General features: G+C 46.0%; 1 protein-coding gene, 1 long non-coding RNA gene and 1 other non-coding gene across 11 annotated transcripts in view; 2 read left to right on the top strand and 1 right to left on the bottom strand.

Annotated features, from left to right (window-relative positions):
- LYRM4-AS1 (LYRM4 antisense RNA 1) overlaps window positions 1–14483 on the bottom strand; it is a 236681-nt gene that overhangs the window by 84524 nt on the left and 137674 nt on the right. The window lies entirely within an intron of this gene.
- The window catches only part of LYRM4 (LYR motif containing 4), a 229198-nt gene that overhangs the window by 104978 nt on the left and 109737 nt on the right, over window positions 1–14483 (top strand). The window contains exon 3 of one of the 9 annotated variants that reach the window (NM_001164841.3): window positions 11711–11835. The exons of the other annotated variants lie outside the window; for them this stretch is intronic. Within the exon in view, the coding sequence (NP_001158313.1) occupies window positions 11711–11794 (84 nt within the window). The 3' untranslated portion in view covers window positions 11795–11835. The remainder of the gene's footprint in view (window positions 1–11710; window positions 11836–14483) is intronic. 9 annotated transcript variants of the gene reach the window in all.
- Window positions 7651–7740, top strand: MIR3691 (microRNA 3691). The gene has a single exon (NR_037462.1). It is a non-coding gene; the product is annotated as a microRNA 3691 (primary transcript).

Genomic DNA, 14483 nt, shown 5'->3' with positions numbered 1-14483 from the left:
GGTTTGTCCAGCCTGCCTCCAAACATATCTCAAGATGTTTCTCTCTGCCTGTTGTCCTTAGCCATAGGAGACAACTAATGTGTATTTCACAGGGAACATGTATAATACTTTGGAACATACACAATTCCGAGAGGTGTAACATACCAGAGACCTTTGCTTTTTCCTTTGCTTTGCTTAATGCCTTAAACTTTCCTAAGTGCTCCTCCGTACATTAACATGTGAGCCTTCAAAGTAGCTGGGAGAGGCTATCCATACGTTTTGCTGCCAAGAAAAACAGGCCCAACACTTTACAACAGAATAATGGCAGGACCAGTGTGAGAATCCTGGTTTTCTGGTAGGCTGGTTCCCTGACATCCTGGTTCAGCAACGTATCATCCTTAAAAGATATATAAATGTTGGCATGACTACCCAGCCTTTCCAACACCCACAGCCAGTGAAACCCAGTTACTGAAAAATGATGGAAAGTACCAGCATCAGTAATTTCCTTCTGTGTATATGATCTCAGTGGCTGAGGAATTGCCTAGTAGCCTAGTAAAGACGGACTCTGAAAACTGTCCTGTTTCTGTAGTAGTATTTATTAGTAATCCATCTCAGCCGGGCTCAGAGGCTCACACCTGTAATCCCACCACAATGGGAGGCCAAGGCAGGCAGATCACTTGAGGCCAGGAGTTCAAGACCAGCCTGGCCAACATGGTGAAACCCCCGTCTCTACTAAAAATGCAAAAATTATCCAGGCGGTGGCGCATGCCTGTAATCCCAGCTACTCAGGAGGCTGAAGCAGTAGAATTGCTTGAACCCGGGAGACAGAGTTTGCAGTGAGCCAAGATCACACCACTGCACTCCAACCTGGGCAACAGAGCAAGACTCTATCTCAAAAAAATAATAATAATAAAAGATCCGTCTCACAGTAGGCAGGGTAGGGGACTCAGTAATTCTGTACAGAAAAGAAGCAGTGCTTCTGTGTCACTCTTGCTCCGTCTATGCATCCCATCCACCATCCTGTTAGAACGGCATTGTTTATTAAAAGTCCCAGGCCTGGGGTGAGGAGACCTGAACCCTGATGCCCCCCTCTGACACTGTGTAATTTGGGTGAAGTTACTGCACCTTTGTGAATCCGCCTTTCTTTTTTATTTTTATTTATTCATTTATTTTTTGAGACGGAGTCTCGCTCTGTCGCCCAGGCTGGAGTGCAGTGGCGCGATCCCGGCTCACTGCAAGCTCCGCCTCCCGGGTTCACGCCATTCTCCTGCCTCAGCCTCCCGAGTAGCTGGGACTACAGGCGCGTGACACCACGCCCGGCTAATTCTTTTGTGTGTTTTTAGTACAGACAGGGTTTCACAGTGTTCGTCAGGATGGTCTCGATCTCCTGACCTCATGATCTGCCCACCTTGGCCTCCCAAAGTCCTGGGATTACAGGCTTGAGCCACCGCGCCCGGCCGAATCCGCCTTTCTTTTTAATCTGTATGAGGTGTTGGGTTGTCTTCTGATGTTTCCATCTGTGTCCTGTGTGATCGTAGATACTGCATGCCACTCTCTGTCCAGCACGTGATGCCCTTTGCAACCTCCTTTCTCACCCACCCTGGGGCTTGGGAGCTGGAGATGGGGGAATAGGGGTGGTCAGTGAAATATTAAAAATCAGACTCCTATAGACACAGTTTGCAGGTGTTATATGGAGTTCCTTCTACTGTTTCATTCTACTGCATTACATTTTTATGTTAACTTAATAGGCTAATATTTTATGAACTTGTAAGATTGAATATATGGAATGAAATCAATGTTTCTGATAATTACTTGATGGGGTGGGGAGTTTCAGGAGAAAGTCATTTAAAACCTCCAGACTGATATTGATTAAAATTAGTGGCTTAAAGATTTAGAATATCTAATTTATAGGGTTTTTTTCTTGGTTGACTCTATAACTTAGGTAAAAAAATGTTTCCGTAGCTTTTATGATAACATTTAGCAGGTAATTTTCTTTACTAGATGTAGGGAAGAGCCAGCAATTTACAATCAGAGCATTCCATATATCCCTGTTTAGGGCGTTTCAGGGTTTATTGCTGCAATTTAGCATTTTTATCTGGGATGTTCAACTTCTAAGGGACGGGCTCTCTGTTTGCTGTTTTAAAATTATTAGAGTCTTTCATTGTATCTGTCTGTATTCACAGCATATATGGTCATTTCATTTGAGTGTTCATGAACAGCCCTCAATATATCAGTGATTACTTTATGTGTCGAGCACCGTACAACAGTGGTTGCCAGTTCTGACTACACATCAGGATGTATTTTTGAAGACTTACAGAGGTGATTTTGTTGAGCATCACTGTTGAAAACCACAGGTTTTCCAAGAGTGTCCGTGTGTATTTCACATGGCTTTACTCGTCAGGAGGTACTGGTGATTGCCTCTTTCACAAAAGAGGAAACTGAGGCTCTGGAAGGTTCTGTGAGTTGCCCCCGGTCACACCGAACAGCAGCACTTCATCAAGTTAGTTTCCAGATGTCCAGCTTCTCTCTGCCCAGCTGGGCAGGCACAAGAGACTTGCTGTGTTATGACCTGGTGTCTTAGTTTTGTTTAAGATTAGCAAGGGCGCCAGGTGTGGTGGTTCACACTTGTAATCCCAGCACTTTTGGAGGCTGAGGTGGGCGGGTCACTTGAGGTCAGGAGTTTGACAGCAACCTGGCCACCATGGCAAAACACCATCTCTCCTAAAATATAAAAATTAGCCAGGCGTGTTGGTGCACACCTGTAATCCCAGCTACTCAGGAGGCTGAGGCAGGAGAATTGCTGGAACCCAGGAGGCGAGGCAGAGCTGAGATCACACGACTGCACTCCAGCCTGAACGACAGAACGAGACCCTCTCTCACACAAAAAAAATAATAATAAGATTACCAATGGTTCAACAGAAACAAAACCAACAGCCTAGTGTATTGTGACAGTCCTGGGACACAGAGGCAGAATTAGGTACGTACTGCCTTCATTTAAGGAACCTGCAAGCCCAGCGGCCTTAAGTATGCTACTAAGGATATAGTACTAGTTGTCACATAAATAAAATTCTAAATCCTGTCATTAAATAAGCCACCCTTATGCCTTTCTCATCTGGCAGCAAGTTTGTCAGCACAGGGCAGTGGGTAAAGAGTTGCCGTCTGCTGCGTGTTTCCATTTGCCCCGTGACCTAGCCTGGAATTCCTACCAGCCAACAACAGAGGAGGCCCAAGAGGAAGGCTTTCCCCAGAAACACGCAGTCCCATCCCCTGGAAACAGTTCCATGAGCACATTAGCTTAGCTGATTATGAGAGTAGCTAGGCATCAGCTCAGGCACTGAGTAAAGCAGACCTTTGTAATGGGGCTGAGGGAGGAAGCGTGTACAACAGAGGGGAACAGCCAGGCCGGAGACAGACACGCAGCTGGGGCTGCCTCACTTCTCCGTTTGCCTCCACCAGCCATGCCTTCTGACTGGACATTTTCACCAAAGAAGATACGATGGGGTATAGTTTTTAAAAAAATATTAGAAGGATGGCAGATTATTAAAAGCCAGCTCTCGCCCCCTATTTAATCTAGTACGTCATGCCGGCACTGGAGGTAGTACATGTGTGTCATTCATTGTTTGTGGGTGTTTCCCCGAGTGACATAGTTGTCGCTTAGTTGCCGCTTTCCTAGGAAATGCTTTTGGCATCACATACTTGCCTGCAGCTGATCAGGGAAGCAGCTTGGCAGGGCAGGAGAAACACAGAGCTGAGTCTGCCGCTCTCACTGGCGTGCTAACCATGGGCAAGCTGCTTAGCTTCTCAGCGTCATGTTGCTCCTCATCTATAGAATGAAGTTGGGTCAGTGATTTTTCTCTAAGGTCCTTTCCAGTTCCCATACTTAGTGGTTCCAGTGATACATATTGACAAGAATATGGTATCATTCTTTTATTCATTCATCAAATATGCGTGAATCACCCATGTCTGGGAGCTTGCTAGATGCTGTGAGCAATTGCAGCAGTGAATCCCACAAAGATCCTGCTTTCCTGGAGCCTGTCATCCAGCCAGGGAGACAAAATGGGGGCACACAGGATTCTCCCAGAAAGCAAAATGGGAAAAATACTGGTAGAAAAGAACAAGGAAAAACTTATCTTCTATTTGTTAAGCCTCCCTCTGTGCCCTAAAGACTCTATTTGATAATTTATGGACTTTTAATTTAATTATGACAGTAATCCGGTGAGGTGGATTTTATTATCCCACTTTATAGATAAGGAATCAAACATTCAGAGAATAAATAATCTGCCCCTAGTCATGCAGCTAGTAAATTGAGCCAGGATTTCAGAACAAGCCTTTCTGCTTTGAAAGCCCATCCCTTCTCCATTAGAACATGCTGCCTCCTGATAAAATGCTTGGCGAATTGATACAGGAGATAGCATATGCCACCGAGGGCAGGATAAGCATTTTCTGGTAGAGGAGCCGTTTGCTCAAGGACCGAGAAGTGGGTGGAATTGGCACGTGTGACTGGGGAGAGGATTTCCTGGAGGCAACAACTGTGAAGGAGTCGGGGCAAACCCAGTGAAAGGGAGATGGGCCAGGCAGAGACTTCAGAAATTATTTAAAAGGCATTTTGGAGGCCGGGTGCGGTGGCTCATGCCTGTAATCCCAGCACTGTGGGAGGCTGAGGCAGGCAGATCACGAGGTCAACAGATAGAGACCATCCTGGCCAACATGGTGAAAACCCGTCTCTACTAAAAATACAAAAAATTAGCTGGGCATGGTGGCACGCATCTGTAGTCCCAGCTACTCAGGAGGCTGAGGCAGGAGGATCCCTTGAACCCAGGAGGCGGAGGTTGCAGTGAGCCAAGATCGTGCCACTGCAATCCAGCCTAGTGACAGAGCAAGACTCCGTTGCAAAAAAAAAAAAAAAAAATTCAAAACAAACAAAAGGCATTTTGGAGCCCCTGAAGATTTGGAGTAAGAGGTTAAATAAGTAAAGGTCACTTCTAGCCATGCCATGAGAGTACTAGTGTAGACACTGATTAAATAAGCTGATAGGGGCTTGAATTGAAGATTAAAAGTCAGGAAGGGAGAAAAGAAGACATGGAAGAGAATGCTATACCATTCTCATAAAGGCTGTGTCATCAGAAATAGCAAACTCAAACTCAGGAACAGGAGCCAACCTTAGAAACACATTGAGGACTCTGATTTTAGTGACTCTAAGCTGCAAGAGATTGGTTCAGCTGTAGTTCTACAACTCAAGATAGTAGTCAGAGCCTGAGCATGCAGCGGTTACACGCTTGCAGGGGAGAGCTGGAGGCTCGATTGAGAATTAGTAAATGCATGACACTCTGCTGCTCACAGAACATGTGCACATTTGCTATCTCAGATGCTTTTCAAGGTGGCCAAAGGAGAGACCACAAAGAAAGAATAATTATGTTAATAGCTAACAATTAGTGAGGGCCTACTGTGTACTAGGCACTGTGCTCAGGATTTTGCATACCTCAGACCTCACCTCCCTATGAGGTGTCATTATTATATCCCATTTGCATAGAAAGTACCTGAAACCAGGGTATCCATGGTCACAGAACTAATACATGGCCAAGCTGGGACTTGAACCCAGGTCTGATGGCCTAAGGTCCCCAGCCTTGGTTAAACAGAGAAGGAAAGGAGGTGCAACAATAGGGGAAAATCAGAATCCAAAAGAAGAAAAAATTGCAAGGAGGGCAGATATGGTTGGTTTCTCTGTTTATTCGTTTGCCATTAGAAACTTTGAGAATAAAGGTCCAGAATGTAGTTGATTAAAATAATGTACACCTGGTTCACCACTGTTACTGATCACCTGCCTTCTACAAAGCTTACGTATTGAGCTTTTATGGGACAGATGGGCTGCGGTGCATTACTGCCTCTTAATACCCTGCTTTACTGTAGCCTGAAACAAGGGTGGCTGTCTGAATGTCAGCGAGGACTTGGGGATGCCAGAGGCATGCTGCTGTGTTCATCTGCTTCTGTGCATAAAGATTTAACATTTGACGTTTGCCCTTTGTTACATTTATCCTAGAGTGTCTTAACATTATTTTAAAGTGATGGATGTTTTGCTCGTAGGAAATCATTCAGAGGTGTAACAAACGTAGTACCATGATGAACTAGTAAGACGACATGTTCTGGGAATGGCTTGCACCTGCCTGTTGTGCATATGTGTGTCCATGTGTGGACAGGCATGCTTTTAAGTGGAATTGTGTATCTGATGTTTACGTATCTAAATAATGTATATATAATTTGGTCCAGATTTTCTATTACCTCATAGTTTTATTATTCCAATGAGAACTTTATAAGAAGCCCTCTGATATCCTCATCTCCACAGTAGTCAGGGACTTCAGGGTTCCTCTTCCCACCCCCACCCCCAGAAGACATACCAAGATTTTCAGATTAATGCTTCCCCTAATTCTAGAGTATTTTGGAGAATATCTCTCTGGAGAAGCAATAAGGATCAGTGGTTTGAGCTACGACTTTGAAAGCAGACATGTAAAGAGGTTTGAATCCCAGCTTTACGACATGCTATCTGACCTTGGTTAACCACTGAAAATCTCCCTAGCCTCAGTTTCAGTGTCTGAGATAATGAGCCTGACACCATCCTTGATATCTGTGTCCTGGGGACCTGGAGGAATTAATGAGCTGATGCCATAAAATACCGATCCTGGGTTGAAGGGCCTCTCCTGTGAGGTCTTTCTGTTGCAGTGCGTCTTTGTTAGCAGGCTTTTCCCACGTGTCGGGGCTTCTTTCAGGCCCTCATTTTAGTGTTATCACCACATTAGTGCCTATTTCACTTATTTTTGAAAACCTGAAAATATCATACATACTGATGGAAATTTCATTGAATATTAATGAACACTCAGAACTGTACCTGCAACAGAAAGCGAAATTGGCTAAATATTACTCATCCAATCATTTATCTGAAAGATGGTGTCATTTTCCAATCCTAAAAATATAATAATTAATGTGAAATTTCAGGTTTAAAGTACAGTTTTAAAATATCAAGCAAGCATCATGTCAAAAATGAAATTTTATTAAAGGAGCTATTCTAGACGATTAAGAAATGAAAACTTAGAGTTCTAGGGGAAAAATTCAGAACCACGTTTAATTTTATACTTGGAAGCGCGCTACAAATGACAAGGTAATTTTTATATGTATATTTATAGATTTAATTAGCAGTTATTCCATTATATCTTTCATATAACTATAAATGGAAAATGATTTCAGACAAGAGGCTCTCATCTTCAAGAATTATTGTTGGTAAAGTTATGGGAGAGCTGATTTCTCAGTCACTATAAGCAGAGAGAGAGAGAGAGAGAGAGGTGTGTGTGTGTAAAGGTCATTACCTGTCACCTAATATGAATTCTTTCATTAAAAAATACTTTCTATAACTTTTCTCATTTTCTCATCCATGTTTTGCACTTGAGACTATTTAGAAGGCACCATGACTTGTTCAAGGCGTATACCCAGCCCAGCTCAGGATTACGATACAGAGTTCTAACTCTGCCCCCTCAGCCCAGCTCAGGATTACGATTCAGAATTCTAACTCTCCCCACACAGCACGGGAAGTCCTGCATACCCTGCTGATCTGTGGGTGTCACATAGCCTTGAGGCTCATAAAGGTCTTTGCTTCTCCTTCCTGCTTTTACGTTTCAGTGAATATTGAGGCACTGGGTAGTGGATGATGGAGACTCGGTACCCACTGCTGAGGGTGGGGACCAAGTCTGCGTCATCCTCTCCTCAGTGCCTCAAACGGTCTGGGAGCCAATGTTCAACAAACGAGCATGCGGGTGAGTAAAACACAACCAGCTGTAAGACGTGCTGTTCAAAAGGGCGGGCTGGGAGGGTGGCCGGGACACCAGTCACGGATGTCTTCTGTGAGCAAGAGCTCTTTCATCTGGGACCTGGTGATGAGTAAGGTGACGTGAAGGGAGAGTGGGGGAGGGCAGGTGGCCTGGGGAGTGCTAACGAGCTTGGTGTGTTCTGGAACTGAAAGAAGACAGAGATTGTTTTCCCGCTCCATGTGGAGAGAACCAGTTGCCCACTAATTTACAAAAGGAAAGTCGGACAGTAATCTCTCATCAGCGTGGCTATCAATGAGACCTGGAGCTTCCAGGAAAATTTGGCTTAATAAGTACCATACTGTTACTTCCTCGGGAATATTAAAAAGGAAGGAGCGATGAGACAGAAGGGCCTAATTCACCCTGCCGTGGACCACGTCTGACTTGGCCTGCTAACAAAGCATGTTTAGGCAGTAGGGAGAGAACCGAGGGGAGATGGACGTCTCTACATGGAAATATTTTCTGAATGTGAATTTTAGTATCCCTGTTTCCTGTCTTCCTTCAAAGATGAAAAGGAATCCATGTATAAAACAGGTAGTCACATGAGCATATGTAAAGTTTGGTTAAGCAAATTCAAGGACTTTTTCTACTTACCTAGGGCCAGTATATTCTGTGGACATTGATAACCCATAGTTTCAACTGTAACCTCACATTGATCCCCAGTTTTCAGAGAAAGAGGACACCATCTACTTCTGGTCACTGGCATTTTAGGTGAAATCCTGCAGTGATTGTTTACTGGTAGCCTAATTAGGTACGTTATCCATTATTTAACCCAAAATCCAGGTTAAAATATGACATCAGTGACTTTAGCTAGACCATAACTACACACGTTTACTTCCTGGAGTCATTAAACTGCTTAAAGAAAACAAAATCCCAGCACACCCTTGTTTTGTTAAGGTAACAAAATGAGCTCGTATCAAACATAAATACAGGTTTAAATTACTGTAAAATTTTTTTGTGGACTCAAACACAAACATCACAGCAAAGCTTACCTGTGACCCAATTAGGATCATCATGAAAACATAAATCCCAGTTCTACTCAAGTAATACCAATGGCCTGGTACCAATGGCTTCCAGCAGGCCACTGGGGTTTGACTGCCAACTAGGAAAAGCCCCTGCCTCTGGGGGATAGATGATGGGGAAATCATTCCATCCATCTCAGTGCTGAGCTCTCACATGCTCTTCTGCTTTTCTGTAAATTGACCTAAAATGGCCATCTTTGATGGTCTCTCACTTTCCCTCTAAATCCCTGATGTGAGAATGTATTGGAATTATTTCATGTAACAGTGTGTCTGCCCACAGACCGGCCTCCTGGCTCCAGCTTAGCAGTGTCCAACAGTAAAAATAGAAAAGCCCCTGAGTCTTGTCTTCTTTTGAGAGGAAAGAACCCTTTTGCAGAAGGCCCAGGAACCCCCTCCTCTAGCCACTTTGGCCAGAGTTGTGGTATGCAATTATTCCTAAGCTGTTCACTGGACAGGTAGCTGGGCCCCACCACAACTGCCTAACGTCAAGCAAGATTGATGCCTGGGGGCTGTGCTGGGAAGAGGCCCGCTTCAGGGGGAAATTGGGGCTGTGTTGAGAAGGAAGGAGGGTAGCTGTGGAGTGGGCCACTGAGTGGGGCCTGCGTTTCACAAGCATTCCAGGTCCTGCCTGGGGGTATAAATCCTGGCTCTCCCTTTTCCAGCTCTATGGACTGCACAAAAGTATAATACTATCTAACTTCTCGGCATTTCTGTTTTTTCACCAATAAAAAAAATGAAGGTAACAATACCCCCTCAGAAGATAACATGCGAGCAAGATGGAAGCACAGACCTGGCACAGGCCCATTCTTTACTCTGAGTCAAGTCTAGTCTCCTTAGGGACAGGGCATCAATAAGGGACCCCTCAGCACCTTGCACGATTCATTTAGTTCTCAGGAATTCATTTGCTAGGACTGAATACGGGAAACATGCTACTAAACTGCCCCTGAACTCACAGGCTTGTGATGTGTGGTGGATGAGACACAGCCCGTGCTGAGGCAGGCAGGTCTGAATCCAGTGCCAGAAGCACCATGTGCCATGAGGTGGCATTCGAATATTTGGAGCAATGAAGCGATCTCATTGAATGTATATATATGCTAGAGGAATTGCAATCATGAGAAAAATTAATTGCAGAGTTGATCGTAGAGGCATAGTGTCCAGGCAGAAACCTAATCCAAGCAAGAGATCATTTGACGGCTGAGGGAAGAGAGAGCCAAGGGGAATGGAGTGGAATGGAATGGAATGCAGGAACTCTAGAGGGGATTTAAAGGCTGAATATGCTGGTTTGCGGGCTTGAGTTAGGAGCCCACCTCTAGCAGTCAATATTACTAGAGCATTGGTGGTGAAGCCGTGGGTGTAAATAAGACCACGTGAAGTGGGCGTATATTAAAGACATATTGGTGACCTTTCTGATGTTTTCTACCATTTCATATTAATAGGCATGAGGATCGAAAATAGGAAATGATTTTTCTTTTCTCCTCCCTGGCAGCCTTCTCTGCTGTGATGTTTTTTCCTCATAAGGCTGGGGTCCTATTGCTTTCCCTTCTGATGAAGCTTTTTTATTACTTGGTGGGTAGAGGGCCTTAGGTGTGGCAGAGAAATTCCGCAGCCTCGCCCTCGCCGTCATAGTGATGAAGAGCGTTGACTCCGGAGTCACCAAGGGAAATTAAGCACATGTTTTATTAATCTTTATGAACCTCAGTTTCCTCTCCTGCAAAATGAGAACAATACTGGTGCCGACTTCGCAGCACTGTTTGCAGCGTGAGGGCGATAAGGCACTTACACAGGCGCGTGCCCCCCACATGGAAATGCCTGGAGATGCTGCCGGCTCCTCCACTCACCGAAACTGCACTTTCTCTCCTTTGTTCTAAATGAGAAACCAGGTGTGGGGAGCAAATGGGAGAAAGGGGCAGGAGAAGCTTGCCTCAGATTCCAACTCATATGACCTGTCAGTGACTAAAGACGGAATGCCAACACATGGATTGTGTGTGTGAAATGCCAGGTTGGTGTTTTCCACAGGGATGTGCCCGTTGTTCTCTGCTTTCTGTGGAATTCTCTTCCAGCGCCAGGCCTGGAGATGGGGCCTGCCCTTTTACCTCTCAAATATGTTCCCAGGGAAGAGTGTGTCCTTCTCCGGGAGCCACCCCATCACACTGACTCTCACTTTGGGCTCATTGCTAGAAACTCTGTGGCCTGCGCCTGCTTCCCATGTCGCGTCAAAGCGTCTCAGCACAGACCTAAAGGAGACCTCAGAGGTCACCCAGCGTGGCCTCGCAGAAACACCTGCGGGAAGGGATTACGGAGGTTTGCAGGGAAGGCCGGGCAGCCCGGGAGTGAGCGCCGCACTGCAGCTCCCAGACACATGCAGCTCCTGCTCCCAGGCAGGAACAAAGTGATTTCCCAGCTCCTGGGGCCATGGGTAGCTAACTGATTAAATACCCGGTTTGGAAAATTCACCTGACGTATTTCTTTTTTTTTTTTTTTTTTTTTTTTTTTTTTTGAGACGGAGTCTCGCTGTGTCGCCCAGGCTGGAGTGCAGTGGCGTGATCTCGGCTCACCTCCCAGGTTCACGCCATTCTCCTGCCTCAGCCTCCCAAGTAGCTGGGACTGCGGGCGCCCACCGCCATGCCCGGCTAATTTTTTGTGTTTTTAGTAGAGACGGGGATTCACCATGTTAGCCAGGATGGTCTCGATCTCCTGAGCTTGTGATCTGCCCGCCTCAGCCTCCCAAAGTGCTGGAATTACAGGCTTCAGCCACCGCACCCGGCCTCACCTGACATATTTCTTACACGTAAGCCACTTCTTTTTCTTGTCCAAACTGAGGCTAGCCCTCACCCAAGACTTGCCTGTATCTCAGTGCAGGTAGCTGAGCAAGGCACAGCCGCCAGGAGGAAGTCGGGGAACAGCAGCCGGAGCCTGGGGAAGCCCTGCACAAGTTGGCCTTGAGGAAACCACCTGACAGACGTTTGCTCTTCCTCACAGAGCTGGTGAGCATTCTGACTATGTGGTCACATCAGATCAGATCGCTCTCACCTCTCTAAGCATTTCTTTTTCTGGAGTATGAAGCAGCTATTCAGGGAGGAAAGCAATTTGATGTCAGGGGCTTCTTTGAGCCTTGGGAATTAGACCTCAGAAGCTTAGAATTGGAGCTCAGCTGCTGGTGGAAGATATACTGTGAATGTTTTATTCAGTAATGCATATATAACATTGAGCAGAATCCAAATACATAAATCACTTATACAATAGCTGTGAAGAGCCACCTTCCAGCACTTGAGAACCCGGCAGCCAGTGGCTCACAAAGGCCTCTGTCGCCATCTGCTGGCCGCATGCTTTCTCATGCTGTTAATTCTTGCTCTGGTATTTTTTGTTCCCGCAGCCTTTGGCACTCAGGTTCTTCTGCTGTAAAATTTGCCTCCATCAGAGCTGTATTGCCTTGTGTTTTTGAGGCTTGCAGAAGAGACCCTTAGCACTCCTTAAAATTCTGGCAGGACAGAGAAAACAAGATGGAGAGAGATGACAAAGCCGATTTCTTCCTCCTGGCTTTTTTTTAACCAGTTCTGTGCACTATCAGGCCCTCTGAGCTTAGGCCTATGCCAGCCACATCTCAAGGCCAAGGACACAATACTCGGTTTGTCTTTATAATAGGTCCTGTTATTGTGTCTGTCAACCTCCCGATGTCTGTATCACAGTCACCAATATATTACGCTAAGGAAATAGGAATTATTCACATTGCCAGTAAAACTTGCCCATGTATAAGCACAGACTCACACAGTTATGGGCCTGAAGACCATCCCCAGTGGCGAAACTGTGCCCCAGAGGTTGCCATAAGTCACTGGAGCCAGAAGGCATATTTGATCCCCTGTGTAAGATTGGCCACCGTACCCTGAATGACAGTGGTGTGCTGACTCACACAGAAGATCCGCTTGTGGTGCAGGCTTGGCCTCCTCAATGTGGCCACAGGCCCTAGAGCGCTAACAGATGTCACTTATCGGGATCACCCCTGAGGCATTGTGAACAGGAAGTGGCATCACTGATCTCCCACCAGCTCTGAACCAATACATGTGGCATCCCAACTTCCGGAGAGGCTGGACAGAGCATATCCGGAATGCAGCCACGTGGGGAGTCAGAGTAGGGCAAGGATATAGGAGTGCTGATGAAAACTGAAAACACAGGGGACCGGCCCGCGATGCGGCCTCCTGGGAGACATCTGCATGAGGCCAGCAGGCCAAGGGTCCATGGCTGGGGATGGCTGCGCTCTCCTTAGGGAAAGGCATTCCAGAAACTGAAGTTACGAGGCAGCGTAGGGAAAGCATCCTGGGCTCTTCAAATCTGGGCATGGCTGTGAGTCCCAAAGCGTTGTCAGTTTACACCATCTCCTAATGCAAGGGCTAAGTCATTAGGGAAAAAATCATGTTTCAGGTTTTAAGGGGAAAAAATGAAAAGGTGCATGGCCTTTACCTGTAAACAGTAGAAGGGGGTGGGGAATGGTTGAATGGTAGAAATGAAAATCAAGAAATCTAGCAATGGCTGGTGATTTAAGGACCTTGTATATCAGTTATTGCTGCACAGTAAGTCATCCCCCAAAACTTAGTGGCTTCAAAGAACAATCTTCATTTATTGCCACATCCCACTTCTATAGGTCAAGAATTCAGACAGGGCATGGCGAGGGGGGCTTGTGTTGCTCCACAGTGATTGAACCTCAGCTGGAAGATTGGAAAGCTGGGGGCAGGAATCATCTTTTACTTAGCTGTCTGGAGGTTGATGCTAGTTGTGAGCCAGGAGTCTGGCCAGGGTGTCAGCCAGAACATAGCACATATGGCCTCACTGTAACCTGGGCTTCCTCACAACATGGCGGCTGGGTTCCAAAGGCAAGAGTCCCAGCAGAGAGAGCCACACAGAAGCCATATTTTCTCTACGGCATAGCCTCAGGAGTTGTACAGCGTCACCTCCACTGTCAAGGTTATAGAACCTGTCCAGGTTCACATAGAGAGAACACAAACCCCTTCACTCAGTAGAGGAGGGTCCATTCATTGTAATACAATCATTGGAAAACACCATCTGCCACACCGGTTTCCTTATCACCTGTACCCGCATCCCCCCCGACACATGCACAGAAACAGGGCAGCCTGTCACAGACCCTCAGCGATCATGGCATGGGTTTGTGCTGGGTAAATAGGTGCGTTTGTGGGTCAGCTCTGCTTCTGGTTTGTAGTTTGACCTGGTCTTAACCTCTCTGGATCTCAGTTTCTTCTTCTGGGAAACAAAAAGGCTGAGCTCCAAACCCAGTCATTGGAAACTTTAACGTTTTCTCTTAACCTTTTTTATACCCTCATGCCTATTCCTCAGTGGTAGTGAGGGTCACGGTTCAGTTTGGTGGGGGGGTAAAAGTTTGGAAAAGCCTCCCTCAAAAGCTCTAGAATCCCTTCCAGCTCTGACCTCCGTGAGTGTTGAGATGCTGGTCATGCTCTTTGGCTTTTTGGGATTTTACTTTCCTGCTCTGTAAAATGAAGGGTCTACTAAATTATCAGTTAAACTTTTTCCAGCTGTCATGTTTGATGTTAGTATGCGTTTTGATATAATGAGGTTCCTTCATCCACACCAGTACTGTTCCGCTACGGTGGACATGTGCGTTGGC

Source organism: Homo sapiens, chromosome 6 (assembly GCF_000001405.40).
Source record: "Homo sapiens chromosome 6, GRCh38.p14 Primary Assembly".
NCBI lineage: Eukaryota > Metazoa > Chordata > Mammalia > Primates > Hominidae > Homo > Homo sapiens.
This window is presented reverse-complemented; position numbering and strand designations above follow the sequence as displayed.